Consider the following 13,024-nt stretch of genomic DNA (forward strand, 5'->3'; position numbering starts at 1 on the left):
TAATCCCAGCATTTTGGGAGGCTGAGGCGGGTGGATCATTTGAGGTCAGGAGTTTGAGACCAGCCTGGCCAACATGGTGTAACCCTGTCTGTACTAAAAATACAAAAATTAGCCGGGCATGGTGGCGGGCGCCTGTAATCCCAGCTACTCGGGAGGCTGAGGCAGGCGAATTGCATGAACCTGGGAGGTGGAGGTTGCAGTGAGCCTAGATTGCGCCATTGCCTGGGCGACGCAGCAAGACTCTGTCTCAAAAAATAAAAATAGAAGGCCAGGCGCGGTGGCTCACGCCTGTAATCCTAGCACTTTGGGAAGCCGAGGCGGGTGGATCATGAGGTCAGGGGTTTGAGACCAGCCTGACCAACATGGTGAAACCCCGTCTCTACTAAAAGCACAAAAATTAGCTGGGTGTGGTGGCAGGCACCTATAATCCCAGCTACTCAGGAGGCTGAGGCAGGAGAATTGCTTGAACCTGGGAGGTGGAGGTTGCAGTGAGCTGAGATCATGCCACTGCACTCCAGCCTGGGTGACAGAACGAGACTCCGTCTCAAAAATAAATAAATAAAAAAATAAAAATAAAAACAGAGTGAGATTCCATCTCAAAAATAAAAATACAATATAGTCACATGGTTCTCATTCAAAAGGGTCTAAAGCAGTGACAGGGCTCCCCAGGCACTAATCTCCCTCCTCGGAGGCAACCAGGTTTACCAGTTCATCAGTGTTATCAGTTTCTCCCACAGAGATGGCAAGAGTCTGTCACCCAGGGCTGAATTCTGAGGAACCCAACGATGGGGAAAGTCAGGGACACTCATGCTCAGAATAGGATGGGATTAATCAGGGTGGGCTTCCTGGAGGAGCCTAATTACTCATGCTCAGAATAGGATGGGCTCCTGGAGGAGCCTACTTTTGAGCCAGGTTTTACAGGAGGGGAGTCACTTTGGGGCAGGAAGCAGGTCACAGAGGAGGGACATGTCCCAAATGGAAGTCATAATCTTTCCTCTCAAAGCTGTCCTCATCCAGTACAGATGGCTCCGCAGCCAGCCACCTGCACAAACCAGGAACGGGGGAATGATGTTGCTGCCTGTCTTCTCACCTGTGTCCAGCCCAGCACCAGGTCCTGCCAACACCACTTCCTTAGCACATTCTCAAGTCGCCCCATCTTACCTGAGCCGGGAGTGGTAGCTAACACCTGTAATCCCAGCTACTCAGGAAGCTGAGGCAGGAGGATCGCTTGAGCCCAGGAGACCAGCCTGGGCAACATATTGAGACCCTGTTTCTAAAAAACAGAGAGGGCGCGGTGGCTCACGCCTGTAATCCCAGCACTTTGAGAGGCTGAGGCAGGCGGATCATTTGAGGTCAGGAGATCGAGACCATCCTGGCTAACATGGTGAAACCCCGTCTCTACTAAAATAATACAAAAAATTAGCCGGGCATGGTGGTGGGCGCCTGTAGTCCCAGCTACTTGGGAGGCTGAGGCAGGAGGATGGTGTGAACCCAGAAGGCAGAGCTTGCAGTGAGCTGAGATCGCGCCACTGCACCCCAGACTGGGCGACAGAGGGAGACTCTGTCTCAAAAAAAAAAAAGAGTTTGAGCAAGAGCAGCCTGGCCAATATGGTGAAACCCCCTCTCTACTAAAAATACAAAAAAATGAGCCAGGCATGGTGCTGCGCCCCTGTAATCCCAGCTACTCGGGAGGCTGAGGCTCGAGAATTGCTTGAACCCGGGAGGTGGAGGTTGCAGTGAGCCAAGATTGCACCACTGCACTCCAGCCTGGGTGACAGAGTGAGAACCTGTCTCCAAACAAACAAACAAACAAAGCGTCTAACCTGGCCGTCCTATTATTTTCCACCCAGCAGCCAGGATGATCTTCTCAACACACCCACTGCATTATGTGGAGGAGAGTGGAAAGAGGCCGGCGAGGACAGATGCTGTGGTTGGGCGGCCATGGGGGCGGTGGCAGCCTTGTGCTCTGCAGCAACCCAACCTCTTTTAGATCCGGGACACTGTGCGTCCTCTGCACCCTGGGGCCCATTCTACCACGGCGCCTTTCTCCCAGTGAGTCCTTGTTATGAACTGAATGTTTGTGTCCCCGGAAATTCATAGGTTGAAATCCTAGCCCCGCACTGTGATGGGTTTAGGAGACGGGGCCTTTGGGAGGGAGAGAGGTCTTGAAAGTGGAGCCCACATCCAGACGCACTGGCTCACGCCTGTAATCTCAGCACTTTGGGAGGCCAGGTGGGCGAATCACCAGGTCAGGAGTTCGAGACCAGCTTGGCCAACATGGCAGAAGCCCATCTCTACTAAAAATACAAAAAATTGTCCCAGCTACTTGGGAGGCTGAGGCAGGAGAATTGCTTGAACCCAGGAGGTGGAGGTTGCTGTGAGCCGAGATCACGCCATTGCACTCCAGCTCAGGTGACAGAGAAAGACTCCGTCTAAAAAAAAAAAAGTGGAGCCCTCATGAATGGGATTAGTGTCTGTATACGAAGATGCATGAGAGAGATGCTCTGTGTCCCTGCCATGTGAGGATGCAATGGGCGTCTGCATGCCAGGAAGAGGGCCCTCACCAGGCACTGGCGCCTCAACCTTAGGACATCCCAGCCTCCAGAACTGAGAGATACATTTCTGTCATTTAAGCCATGCAGTCTATGCTATTTGATTGTAGCAGCCCCAACTGTCTAACAGGGTCCTCCTTATCTTGTCCTTTAGAGCTCAGCTCAAACTGCCTCTCCCCGGGGAGGACTTATGGGAAGTCCCCTCCCCCAGCAAATCCCCTGTGCCCCACTGGGCAACATCAGGGCAGCTGCACAGTTTTTTTTTTTTCATAGCACTTTATCCAGTTTGTAATGATACAGGCTGACAGGCAGGCACCCCTCCAGTCTTCTCCCTCGTTAAAGATTTGGAATTGGTGGCCAGGCGTGGTGGCTCACGTCTGTAATCCCAGCACTTTGGGAGGCCGAGGTGGGTGGATCACGAGGTCAGGAGTTCGAGACCAGCCTGGCCAAGGTGGTGAAACCCCGTTTCCACTAAAAACACAAAAATTAACCGGGTGTGGTGACAGATGCCTGTAATCCCAGCTGCTTGGGAGGCTGAGGCAGGAGAATCACTTGAACCCGGGCGGCAGAGGTTGCAGTGAGTTGAGATCATGCCACTGCACTCCAGCCTGGGCAACAGAGTGAGACTCTGTTAAAAAAAAAAAAAAAAAAAAAAAAAAAAGGTTGGAATAGGTAATCTCTCTCCTGTGTGAGAAGATACGTTGTGAAAAGGTCACTTTCCCATGCCCTCATCCACCCTCTTCTCTCTTCCCCCAACCCAGGAGGTGACTTTTATTAGCTTTTGTGTCTCCAGAGTTTCTACAGGTAAAGATAAGCGAGTATGAATTCCCACTTTATTCCCTGCCCCCTTTTTAATGTCAATCACGCATGAGGCCCTGCACTTGATTTTTTCCTCTGAACAATGTGCCTTGGAGATCTTGGCAGGATAGCACATGGGAACACCCTCATTTACAACATCTTTTATGGCCACACATGGCTTTACTATATGGATGTACCATAATTTATTATAGCTTTTTTTTTTTTTTTGAGATGGACTCACTCTCTCTCCCAGGCTGGAGTGCGGTGGCACGATCTTGGCTCACTGCAAGCTCCGCCTCCCAGGTTCACGCTATTCTCCTGCCTCAGCCTCCCGAGTAGCTGGGATTACAGGTACCTGCCACCACGCCCAGCTAATTTCTTTTGTATTTTTAGCAAACGAGGTTTCACCGTATTAGCCAGGATGGTTTCAATCTCCTGACCTCGTGATCCATCTGCCTCGGCCTCCCAAAGTGCTGGGATTACAGGCGTGAGCCACCGTACGTGGCCAATTTATTATAGCTTTTTATTTCTTTATTATAATTTATTTAGCTCCCTACTGAAGGGTGCATGGGTCGCCCTCAGTCTTTTGCTATTATAGACAATCCCACAGCAAGCATTGTCCACTTGCTGGAATCCCTAGGTAAATTCCCCAAAGAGGGGATTATTGGGATAAAAGGGAAATGCATTTGGAATTCAGACAGATGTTGTCAGGTTGTCCTTCAGAGCGGTTGTACCAAGTGACATTCCCACTGATAATGTATCAGAGTGCCTGTTTGTAATTATACATGTATTTATGTGATTATTGTATGGTTTCTCTCCCCACAGGAGGGCAGGGACTATGTCAGTTTTCTTTATCATCATAGGCCCTCAATAAATGTTGAATTAGGCTGGGCGTGGTGGCTCACGCCTGCAATCCCAGAACTTTGGGAGGCCAAGGTGGGCGGATCACCTGAGGTCAGCAGTTCCAGACCAGCCTGGCCAACATGGTGAAACCCCATCTCTACTAAAAATACAAAAATTAGCTGGGCATGGTGGTGGGTGCCTGTAATTCCAGCTACTCAGGAGACTGAGGGAGGAGAATCACATGAACCTGGGATGCAGAGGTTGCAGTGAGCTGAGATGAAGCCATTGCACTCTAGGCTGGGCAACAAGAGCGAAACTCTGTCTCAAAAAAAAAAAAAAAAAAGAGTTGAATTAATGAATAGATTCATGGTTCTTCCAGGAGGGGTTGGCCAAGGTAGGAGGGAGATCACCTTCATTTTATGTTCACTGTGCCCGGCCCAGCTTCCCTGATCCTTCCATAGAACAGCTGGGAGCCTGGGAGAGACCCTGGAGGTTCTAGAAGACCTAATCTTGACTGCTGACTCCTGACCCCTGCTCCAGAGTAGCCCTTCTCCTGCTGTGAAATCAAGAAGTCCATGGCTAGGCTCAGTGGTGCACTCCTGTAAACCCAGCACTTTGGGAGGCCCAGGCAGGAAGATCGCTTGAGGCCAGGAGTTCAAGACCAGCCTGGGCAACATAGCAAGATCCTGTCTCTACAAAAAATTTAATAAGAAAATTAGCTGGGTGGGGTGGCTTGTGCCTGCAGTCCTAGCTACTCAAGATACCGAGGCGAGAGGATTGCTTGAGTCCACAGGTTGGAGGCTTCAGTGAACTATAATTGCGCCACTGCACTCTAGCCTGGATGAGAAAGTGAAACCATTTCTCTAAAAAAAAAAAAAAAAAAAAAAAAAAAAAAAAAAAAAAAAGGTCTGGGTGCGGTGGCTCACGCCTGTAATCCCAGCACTTTGGGAGGCCGAGGCGGGCGGATCACGAGGTCAGGAGATCGAGACCATCCTGGCTAACACGGTGAAACCCCGTCTGTACTAAAAATACAAAAAATTAGCCGGGCGTGGCGGTGGGCGCCTGTAGTCCCAGCTACTCGGGAGGCTGAGGCGGGAGAATGGCGTGAACCTGGAAGGCGGAGCTTGCAGTGAGCCGAGATCGCGCCACTGCACTCCAGCCTGGGTGACAGAGCGAGACTCCATCTCAAAAAAATAAAATAAAATGAAATAACATAAATAAAATAAAATAAAATAAAATAAAAAAGAAAAAATAAGTCCAATGTCTTAGCCCTGTAAAGGGGCTTAAAGGATGGACACTTGCCTGATGCCTGAATTGCCTGTGTGTCCTCTGCTTACATACCTCCAGTGACGGGGAACTTACTCCTTCCAAGTGACTTCTTTCAGCTTCAGACAACTAACTTCTAGAAAGCTTTTCCATCTACTGCCAGGTGCAGTGGTTCACACCTGTAATCCCAGGACTTTGGGAGGCCAAGGCGGGTGGATCACTTGAGGTCAGGAATTTGAGACCAGCCTGGCCAACATGGTAAAACCCCGTCTCAACTAAAAATACAAAAATTAGCGAGGCGTGGTGGTGGGCACCTGTAATCCCAGCTACCTGGGAGGCTGAGGCAGGAGAATCGCTTGAACTTGGGAGGTGGAGGTTGCAGTGAGCCAAAATCGCACCACTGCACTCCAGCCTGGGCAACAGAGAGAGACTCGGTCTCAAAACAAAAAAAAAAAAAAAAAGAAGAAGAAAGGAAAGCTTTTCCATTTATTGCGTTGAAATCTGATCCTTCTAGCTGCCTCCTCTTCAGGGAATCTTAATGATGGCCCTCTGGAAACAGGGCTTTCTGGCAGATGAGCAGGAGGGATATTTGTAAACAGGTACCCCTCAGCAATTCTCCGGCAAGCAGGGCTGACTCTCCCAAGGAGCTCTGCAGAGCTCAGCCACCTCCTCACTCTCTCCTGTCCTGCCCACAGGTACGTGCAGGAAGGGCGGTTCCGAATCGAGGAGAGGACGCTGACAGCCTTCCAGTGGCTCTACAGCCCGCAGCAGCATCGCATCCTCAGCCGGGCTGACCTCGAGTCTCCCTCCAGGTAAAGGGGCCTTCTGCCTTGACCCTCACATTCTTTGGCCTCGGCCCAGGCCTCTCAGCTGGTACTTAGGAAGTGAGCTCCGCACTGGTCCACAAATCCACCATGGGGAACTTTGCCCTCAGTGATGGGGAGGCCTTCTAGGAAAGAATTTATCAGCCTGGATGCTTGTCCCACCTCGAATGCACTGAGGCAACTCACTGCCTCTGCTTTCTCCTCTATAAAACGGATAGGATCATACTTTCCCTGACTTCTCTTGGGAGATTATAAGTCTCCAGTGAAATATGACTGCAGAGATTTACAAAGCCTGGAGATTGGTCGGGCTCAGTGGCTCATGCCTGTAATCCCAGCACTTTGGGAGGCTGAGGTGGGTGGATCACTTGAGGTCAGGAGTTCAAGAGCAGCCTGGCCAACATGGTGAAAACTCGTCTCTACTAAAAATACAAAAATTAGCTGAGCGTGGTGGCACATGCCTGTAATCCCAGCTACTCGGGATTGAGTAGCTGAGACAGGAGAATCTCTTGAACCCCGGAGGCAGAGGTTGCAGTGAGCCGCAGTTGAACCACTGCACTCCAGCCTGGGCAACAGAGGGAGACTCTGTTTCAAAAAACAAACAAACAAACAAACAACAAACAACATAAAACAAACAAAAAACCCAACAAAACAAAACAAAAGACCAAAGACTGGAGATCCCTGGTTCCTTCCTCTCTGGAGGGAGAGTGGCAGGTAAATTTGCTGGGCACACTTTGCTTTGACCTGGAGCCAGCCGTGCCTTCTTTGTCCGCCTCCTTTCCCATGCCAGAGAGTCCAGCTGGGATCCTGAGTCTGGGTAGGGGGCTGGGAGGTGAGGGCTTTTTCTGACCCAGATCCTTGCTCCAAACCCCTGCCCACTCTTCCCCCAGCACTGGACACGTATGGCCAGCATCGGCAGTCACAACAGAGGCGTCCTGGCAACCCTTCTGCAGCCACAGCGCTTCCCAAGGCCTCTGCCACACCCGACCCGGGGACTTTCTTTCCACTTTCCCCATCAAAGCCACTTTTTTGTTTTTTTTTTTTGTTTTTTTTTTTTAGATAGAGTTTTGCTCTTGTCGTCCAGGCTGGAGTGTAATGGCACGATCTTGGCTCACTGCAACCTCCGCCTCCTGGAGGCGATTCTCCTGCCTCAGCCTCCCGCGTAGCTGGGATTACAGATGCCCGCCACCATACCTGGCTAATTTTTGTATTTTTAGTAGAGTCAGGTTTTCACCATGTTGGCCAGGCTGGTCTTGAATTCCTGATCTCAGGTGATCCACCCGCCTTGGCCTCCCAAAGTGCTGGGATTACAAGCGTGAGCCACTGTGCCCGGCCACATAACTTCAGATTTCATACATGGGAAGGTTACATGCCAGAGGACTTGAAGAAGAGTCTGCCATATAGTCATTGAGATAAGTGACTGAATTCATTTTTGTGATAGAATATTAATTTTTTTTTAAGAAATAGAGTCTCACTGTGTTGCCCATGCTGGCCTTGAACCCCTGGGCTCAAGTGATCCTCCTGACTCAGCCACAATAGTTCTCTTTTTTTTGAGATGGAGTTTCACTCTTGTTACCCAGCCTGGAGTGCAATGGCATGATCTTGGCTCACTGCAGCCTCCGCCTCCAGGGTTCAAGCGATTCTCCTCCCTCAGCCTCTTGAGTAGCTGGGATTACAGGCATGTGGCACCACGCCCAGCTAATTTTTTATATTTTTAGTAGAGACGGGGTTTCACCATGGTCAGGCTGGTCTCGAACTCCTGACCTCAGATGATCCACCCACCTGTGCCTACCAAAGTACTGGGATTACAGGTGTGAACACAATAGTTTCTAATTATTTTATTTAATGTATTTTGAGACAGGGTCTCACTCTGTCACACGGGCTGGACTGCAATGGGATGATCATGGCTTACTACAGCCTCAAACTTTTGGGCTCAAGGAATCCTGTTCAGCCTCCTGAGTAGCTGGGACTATAGGCATGCACCACCTTGCATGGCTAATTTATTTCATTTTATTCTTATTTTTATAGAGATGGGGTCTCCCTATTGTGCCCAGGCTGGTCAACTCCTAGGTTCAAGCCATTCTCCTGCCTCTGCCTCCCAAGGTGCTGAGATGACAGACGTGAGCCACTGTGCCCAGCCAATAGTTATTTTTTTAGTTCCCGTTATGTGTCATGCAAATGCTTTGCAGGAATAAATTGATTTAATCTTCATAGCAATGCTATGATCTAGGTACTATTGTTGTCCTTGTTTTTCAGATGAGGAAACTGAGGCACAGAGGTTAAGTTACAGCTAGTAAGTGGCAGTGCTCCCAACTACTATGCACACTGCCTCTCAGAGAATAAGGTTTATACTTGAAGTGGGGGAAAAGGGGCGTAATTTCTTTTTCTTTTTCTTTCTTTCTTTTTTTTTTTTTTTTTTTTGAGACGGAGTTTTGCTCTTGTTGCCCAGGCTGGAGTGCAATGGCACAATCTCAGCTCACTGCAACCTCCGTTTCCTGGGTTCAAATGATTCTCCTGCCTCAGCCTCCCTAGTAGCTGGGATTACAGGCATGCGTCACCACACCTGGCTAATTTTGTATTTTTAGTAGATACAGGGTTTCACTATGTTGGCTAGGCTGGTCTCGAACTCCTCGAACTCCTCCCAGAGTGCTGGGATTACAGGCGTGAGCCACTGTGCCCAGCCTCTTTACAAAGAGCAAGAAGGTGGTGTCCGCAAACTATAGATGGGTGGACTTAGCATCAGTCCTAGTCAAGTTCCAGAGTCAGCAGTTATTAAAGAGGAGGTGTGTGGGCACTTAGACAAGGAAGACGTGGACGATCCGCATCGGTGAGTAGGTTCCCTAAGAACTCACCCTACTAGGGGAAGCTTTTTGCTTTTCTGATTAGTTTTCTAGACTCAAAATTAGACCGGGGGTGGAGCAGGAGACTGCTTCTGAGTTTCAGCAAGCAATTGTTCTTTCTTCTTGTGGTCAGGTCCTTGCAGATGACACAGAGCCACATGGGCAGGGGGATGGGACAGCTAAGGAGGTTGGTGAGTGGACTGCCATCAGCTGAGTTCTATTCAGTGTGTTTAAAGGTGGTTTGATGAGGGAAGGTGTGACCAGTGTGCTGGCGACATTGCTGATGGCAGGAACCTGGGTACCATTCCAGCAAGCAAGATGGCAGAATTGGGACCCAAAGTGCCCTGGAAGCTGAATTCCAGGTCCAAGTCCAGTAGATACTATTCATTCATTCATTCGTTCATTTTAGCAAGGATGCTCACAGTAGACACTATTTATTTATTTATTTATTTATTTATTTATTTATTTATTTATTCTTTTTTGAGACAGTTTCACTCTTGTCGCCCAGGCTGGAGTGCAATGGTGCCATCTCAGCTCACTGCAACCTCCGCCTCCCGGGTTTAAGCAATTCTCCTGCCTCAGCCTCCCGAGTAGCTGGGATTACAGGTGCCCGCCACGATGCCCAACTAAGTTTTGTATTTTTAGTAGAGAAGGGGTTTCACCATGTTGGCCAGGCTGGTCTCAAACTCCTGCCCTCAGGTGATCTGCCTGCCTCGGCCTCCCAAAGTGCTGGGATTACAGGCATGAGCCATCGTGCCTGGCCAGGTAGTAGACACAATTTAACAGGGGTAAAGGATAAATGTATTTTGGTTTCTAATCCTGTTTGCACCTGGGCAGCAGGGTGAAGGAATCAGAATTGTCTGAAGGGTTCCCATGGAGTAGAAGCTTGGGTATGGCCCCATGTGTTAGGTGTCTACCAAAGAAAACGCTTACATTTTGAGGCTGCAAGAGCTCAGGGCAGAGTCCAGAGTGAGGGAAGAGAAGGTCCTGCTGTTCTGAGGCCAAGGCTCTATGAGGAATGTTCCTTTGCTTGTTCATTTATTTGGTGGGCATGGATTGAATGCCGTTCCTCTGCCAGACATTGTGCCAGGTGTCCCCCTTGAACAGCTGAGCAGTTGTATTTCTGGGTGATGGAACGGGCTGCTGATAGGACTATGGGACTATGGGCTGGTCACCCCTGCTATCGTTTTTTTTTTTTTTTTTTTGAGATGGAGTCTCGCTCTGTCACCCAGGCTGGAGTGCAGTAGTGCGATCTGCAATGTCCGACTCCCGGTTCAAGCGATTCTTCTGTCTCAGCCTCCTGAGTAGCTGGGACGACAGGCACTCCCCCACCATGCCTGGCTAATTTTTGTATTTTTAGTAGAGATAGGGGTCACCATGTTGGCAGGCTGGTCTCGAATTCCTGACCTCAGGTGATCCACCCACCTTGGCCTCCCAAAGTGCTGGGATTATAGGTGTGAGCTACCATGCCCAGCCAGCCACCACGCCCAGCCAGCCACCATACCTGGCCTCCCTGCTATCCTTTTTTTTTTTTTTTTTTCCCCAAGATGGAGTTTTGGTCTGTTGCCCAGGCTGGAGTGCAGTGATGCGATCTCAGCTCACTGCAACCTCCGCCTCCCAGATTCAAGCAATTCTCCTGCTTCAGCCTCCTGAGTAGCTGGGATTACAGGCATGCGCCAATATGCCCTGCTAAATTTTTTTTTTTTTTGTATTTTTAGTAGAGACAGTGGTTTCACCATGTTGACCAGGTTGGCCTTGAACTCCTGACCTTAAATGATCCACCCGCCTCAGCCTCCCAAAGCGCTAGGATTACAGGTGTGAGGCACCGCGCCCGGCCAGCCACCCTGCCCAGCCTCCCTGCTATCCTTTCTTTCTCCCACAACTATCCATTGTGATCCTGCTCTGGGTCAGGCCCTCAAGGAAGACCAGGGTACTGCCTCCATGGGCCACACATTCTAGTGGGAGAGACAGACGATAAACATGTAAACGCAGAGACAAGAGAATTTCCCAATATGACCAGCGTGCTGAAGAAACTCACACAGGGCATCGAGATCATGAGCAGCCAGTGGGTGTGTGGGGACTCTGGAAGAGGTGGAAGTCCTCTCCAAGAAAGTGACATGTGAGCTGAGTCCTGAAGGGCACAGGGGCGACCACATAAAGAAGCTGCTGGTGAGAGGTGTTAAGTGGGTGGTGGGGAGGGGGCACGGGGCATGGGGTGGAAGAGTCCTTCTGCAGGGGGAGCAGCAAGTGCAAGGCTGTTCTAGAAGCAGAAGGCCATTGTAGCTAGAGCAGAGTCATGATCCACAGGGTCAGGAGGCCATGACCCACAGACAGAAGCGAAAACTTCTGTGCAATTAAAGGAACGGCTTTCTAGCACTTAGAGCTGCCTGAGGATGGAGTGGGCTGCCCCGAGGGAGAGAACTTCCCATCACTAAGCCATAGTCAAAGGCCGCTGTCCACGGAGGTTACTGAGGATGAGACTCAAGCATCCCAAAGGTTGGCTAGAGGACCCTTCGTTCCTTCTACGCCTTCACGTTCAGGAGCATCCTTGGTTTGGCGGAAGCTGGGGGGATGTCTATGGAGTGCATGAATGAAAGTTCCAGGCCGAGCGCGGTGGCTCATGCCTGTCATCTCAGCACTTTGGGAGGCCGAGGCGGGTGGATCACCTAAGGCCAGGAGTTTGAGACCAGCCTGGCCAACATGGCGAAACCCCGTCTCTACTAAAAATACAAAAAGTAGCCGGGTATGGTGGCGGGTGCCTGTAATCCCAGCTACTCGGCAGGCTGAGGCACAAGAATCGCTTGAACCCGGGAGGCGGAGGTTGCAGTGAGCCGAGATCGCGCCACTGCACTCCAGCCTGGGGGACAGAGCAAGACTCTGTCTCATAAAAGTCCAGCCTCCAGATCCCAGGCAGCGGGGAGTTTCAGGGGTCTGAGCAGCCCTGGAGACTCGCAGCATAGCGTTCTGTACCCCGTCCCGGGTCCCGCGCAACGCAGAGCTAGAGGGAGCCCCAGAGTATCTTCCTCAGTAGATCAGGAGCCCCCAGGCCTCACCGCACCTCGGTTCCCCATTGCCCCCATTGCCCCCATTGCATCTTCCAGGAACCCCTGGCGGGCAGGCTGCTCCTTCTCTCCCCGGGTCCTCTGGGTGCACCTGCCCCGCCCCGCGCCTTTGTTCCGGAGGAGCCGCCTTGGGCAGCCCCCAGGGAGCTCAGGACCCGCTGTACCCCCTGCCACCGCCTCCCGGTGCCCGCCCCTCCGCCCCCTCTCCGCGGCTGCGCCAGGCGATCCGCAGGCAGCGGCACAGGGACCAGGGCGCGCCCCGGGTGGCGGAGGCGCGGCGAGGGCGGGAGCACGAGGACCCCGGACCCTGGATCGGCGCGGGCTCCGGCTGCGCGTGCGCGGCGGCGGCGGCGAGGGGCGCCAGGTGTGCGGGCGGTGGCGGCTGCGGAGGGCGCGGCTTTGTGCGCTGGGGCCGGCCGGGGTGCGCGCGTGCGCGGCAGGACTGCTGCGAGGGACCCCGCCGCCCCGGAGGAGGAGGAGGAGGAGGAGGAGGAGGAGGAGGGGGCTGGGCCGAGGGAGGGGGCGACCGCGGGGACTGAGGTGCCCTTCGCTCCGGGTCCAGAGGCAGCCGCGCGCCAGGCGGCGCAGAAGGTCAGTGGCCCCGGGGCTGGGATTCCGCAGCCAGCCTGGATCGGGACGTGAGTCCTGGTGTGACTGACGGGGAATCGGAGCGTGTGTGGAGTGTGAACGCGTGTGTTTGCAGACAGACATCGGCACGTATGGACGGCGCGAGCCGGTACTGCGTTCCGGAGGAGCCATCCGGCGTCACAGGCTGTGCTGGGGAGGTGGGGTGACCGTCCTCAGAAACCCCCGCGGGCGGGGCGCTGCACACACGTCCACCT

The 13,024-nt window shown here is 52.0% G+C and overlaps 1 protein-coding gene across 6 annotated transcripts in view; it reads left to right on the forward strand.

The window, feature by feature from the left end:
- Positions 1–13,024, forward strand: part of RAP1GAP2 (RAP1 GTPase activating protein 2) — a 282,097-nt gene that overhangs the window by 8,530 nt on the left and 260,543 nt on the right. For 3 of the 6 annotated variants that reach the window (NM_001411048.1, NM_001438816.1, XM_024450659.2), the window contains exon 2: positions 6,155–6,271. In NM_001411048.1, the coding sequence (NP_001397977.1) occupies positions 6,155–6,271 (117 nt within the window). Of the gene's footprint in view, positions 1–1,850; positions 2,053–6,154; positions 6,272–12,583; positions 12,774–13,024 lie in introns of those variants that run through there. The other 3 variants (NM_001330058.2, NM_001438818.1, XM_047435668.1) reach the window with 2 other exon arrangements.

Source organism: Homo sapiens, chromosome 17, assembly GCF_000001405.40.
Source record: "Homo sapiens chromosome 17, GRCh38.p14 Primary Assembly".
Classification (NCBI taxonomy): domain Eukaryota; kingdom Metazoa; phylum Chordata; class Mammalia; order Primates; family Hominidae; genus Homo; species Homo sapiens.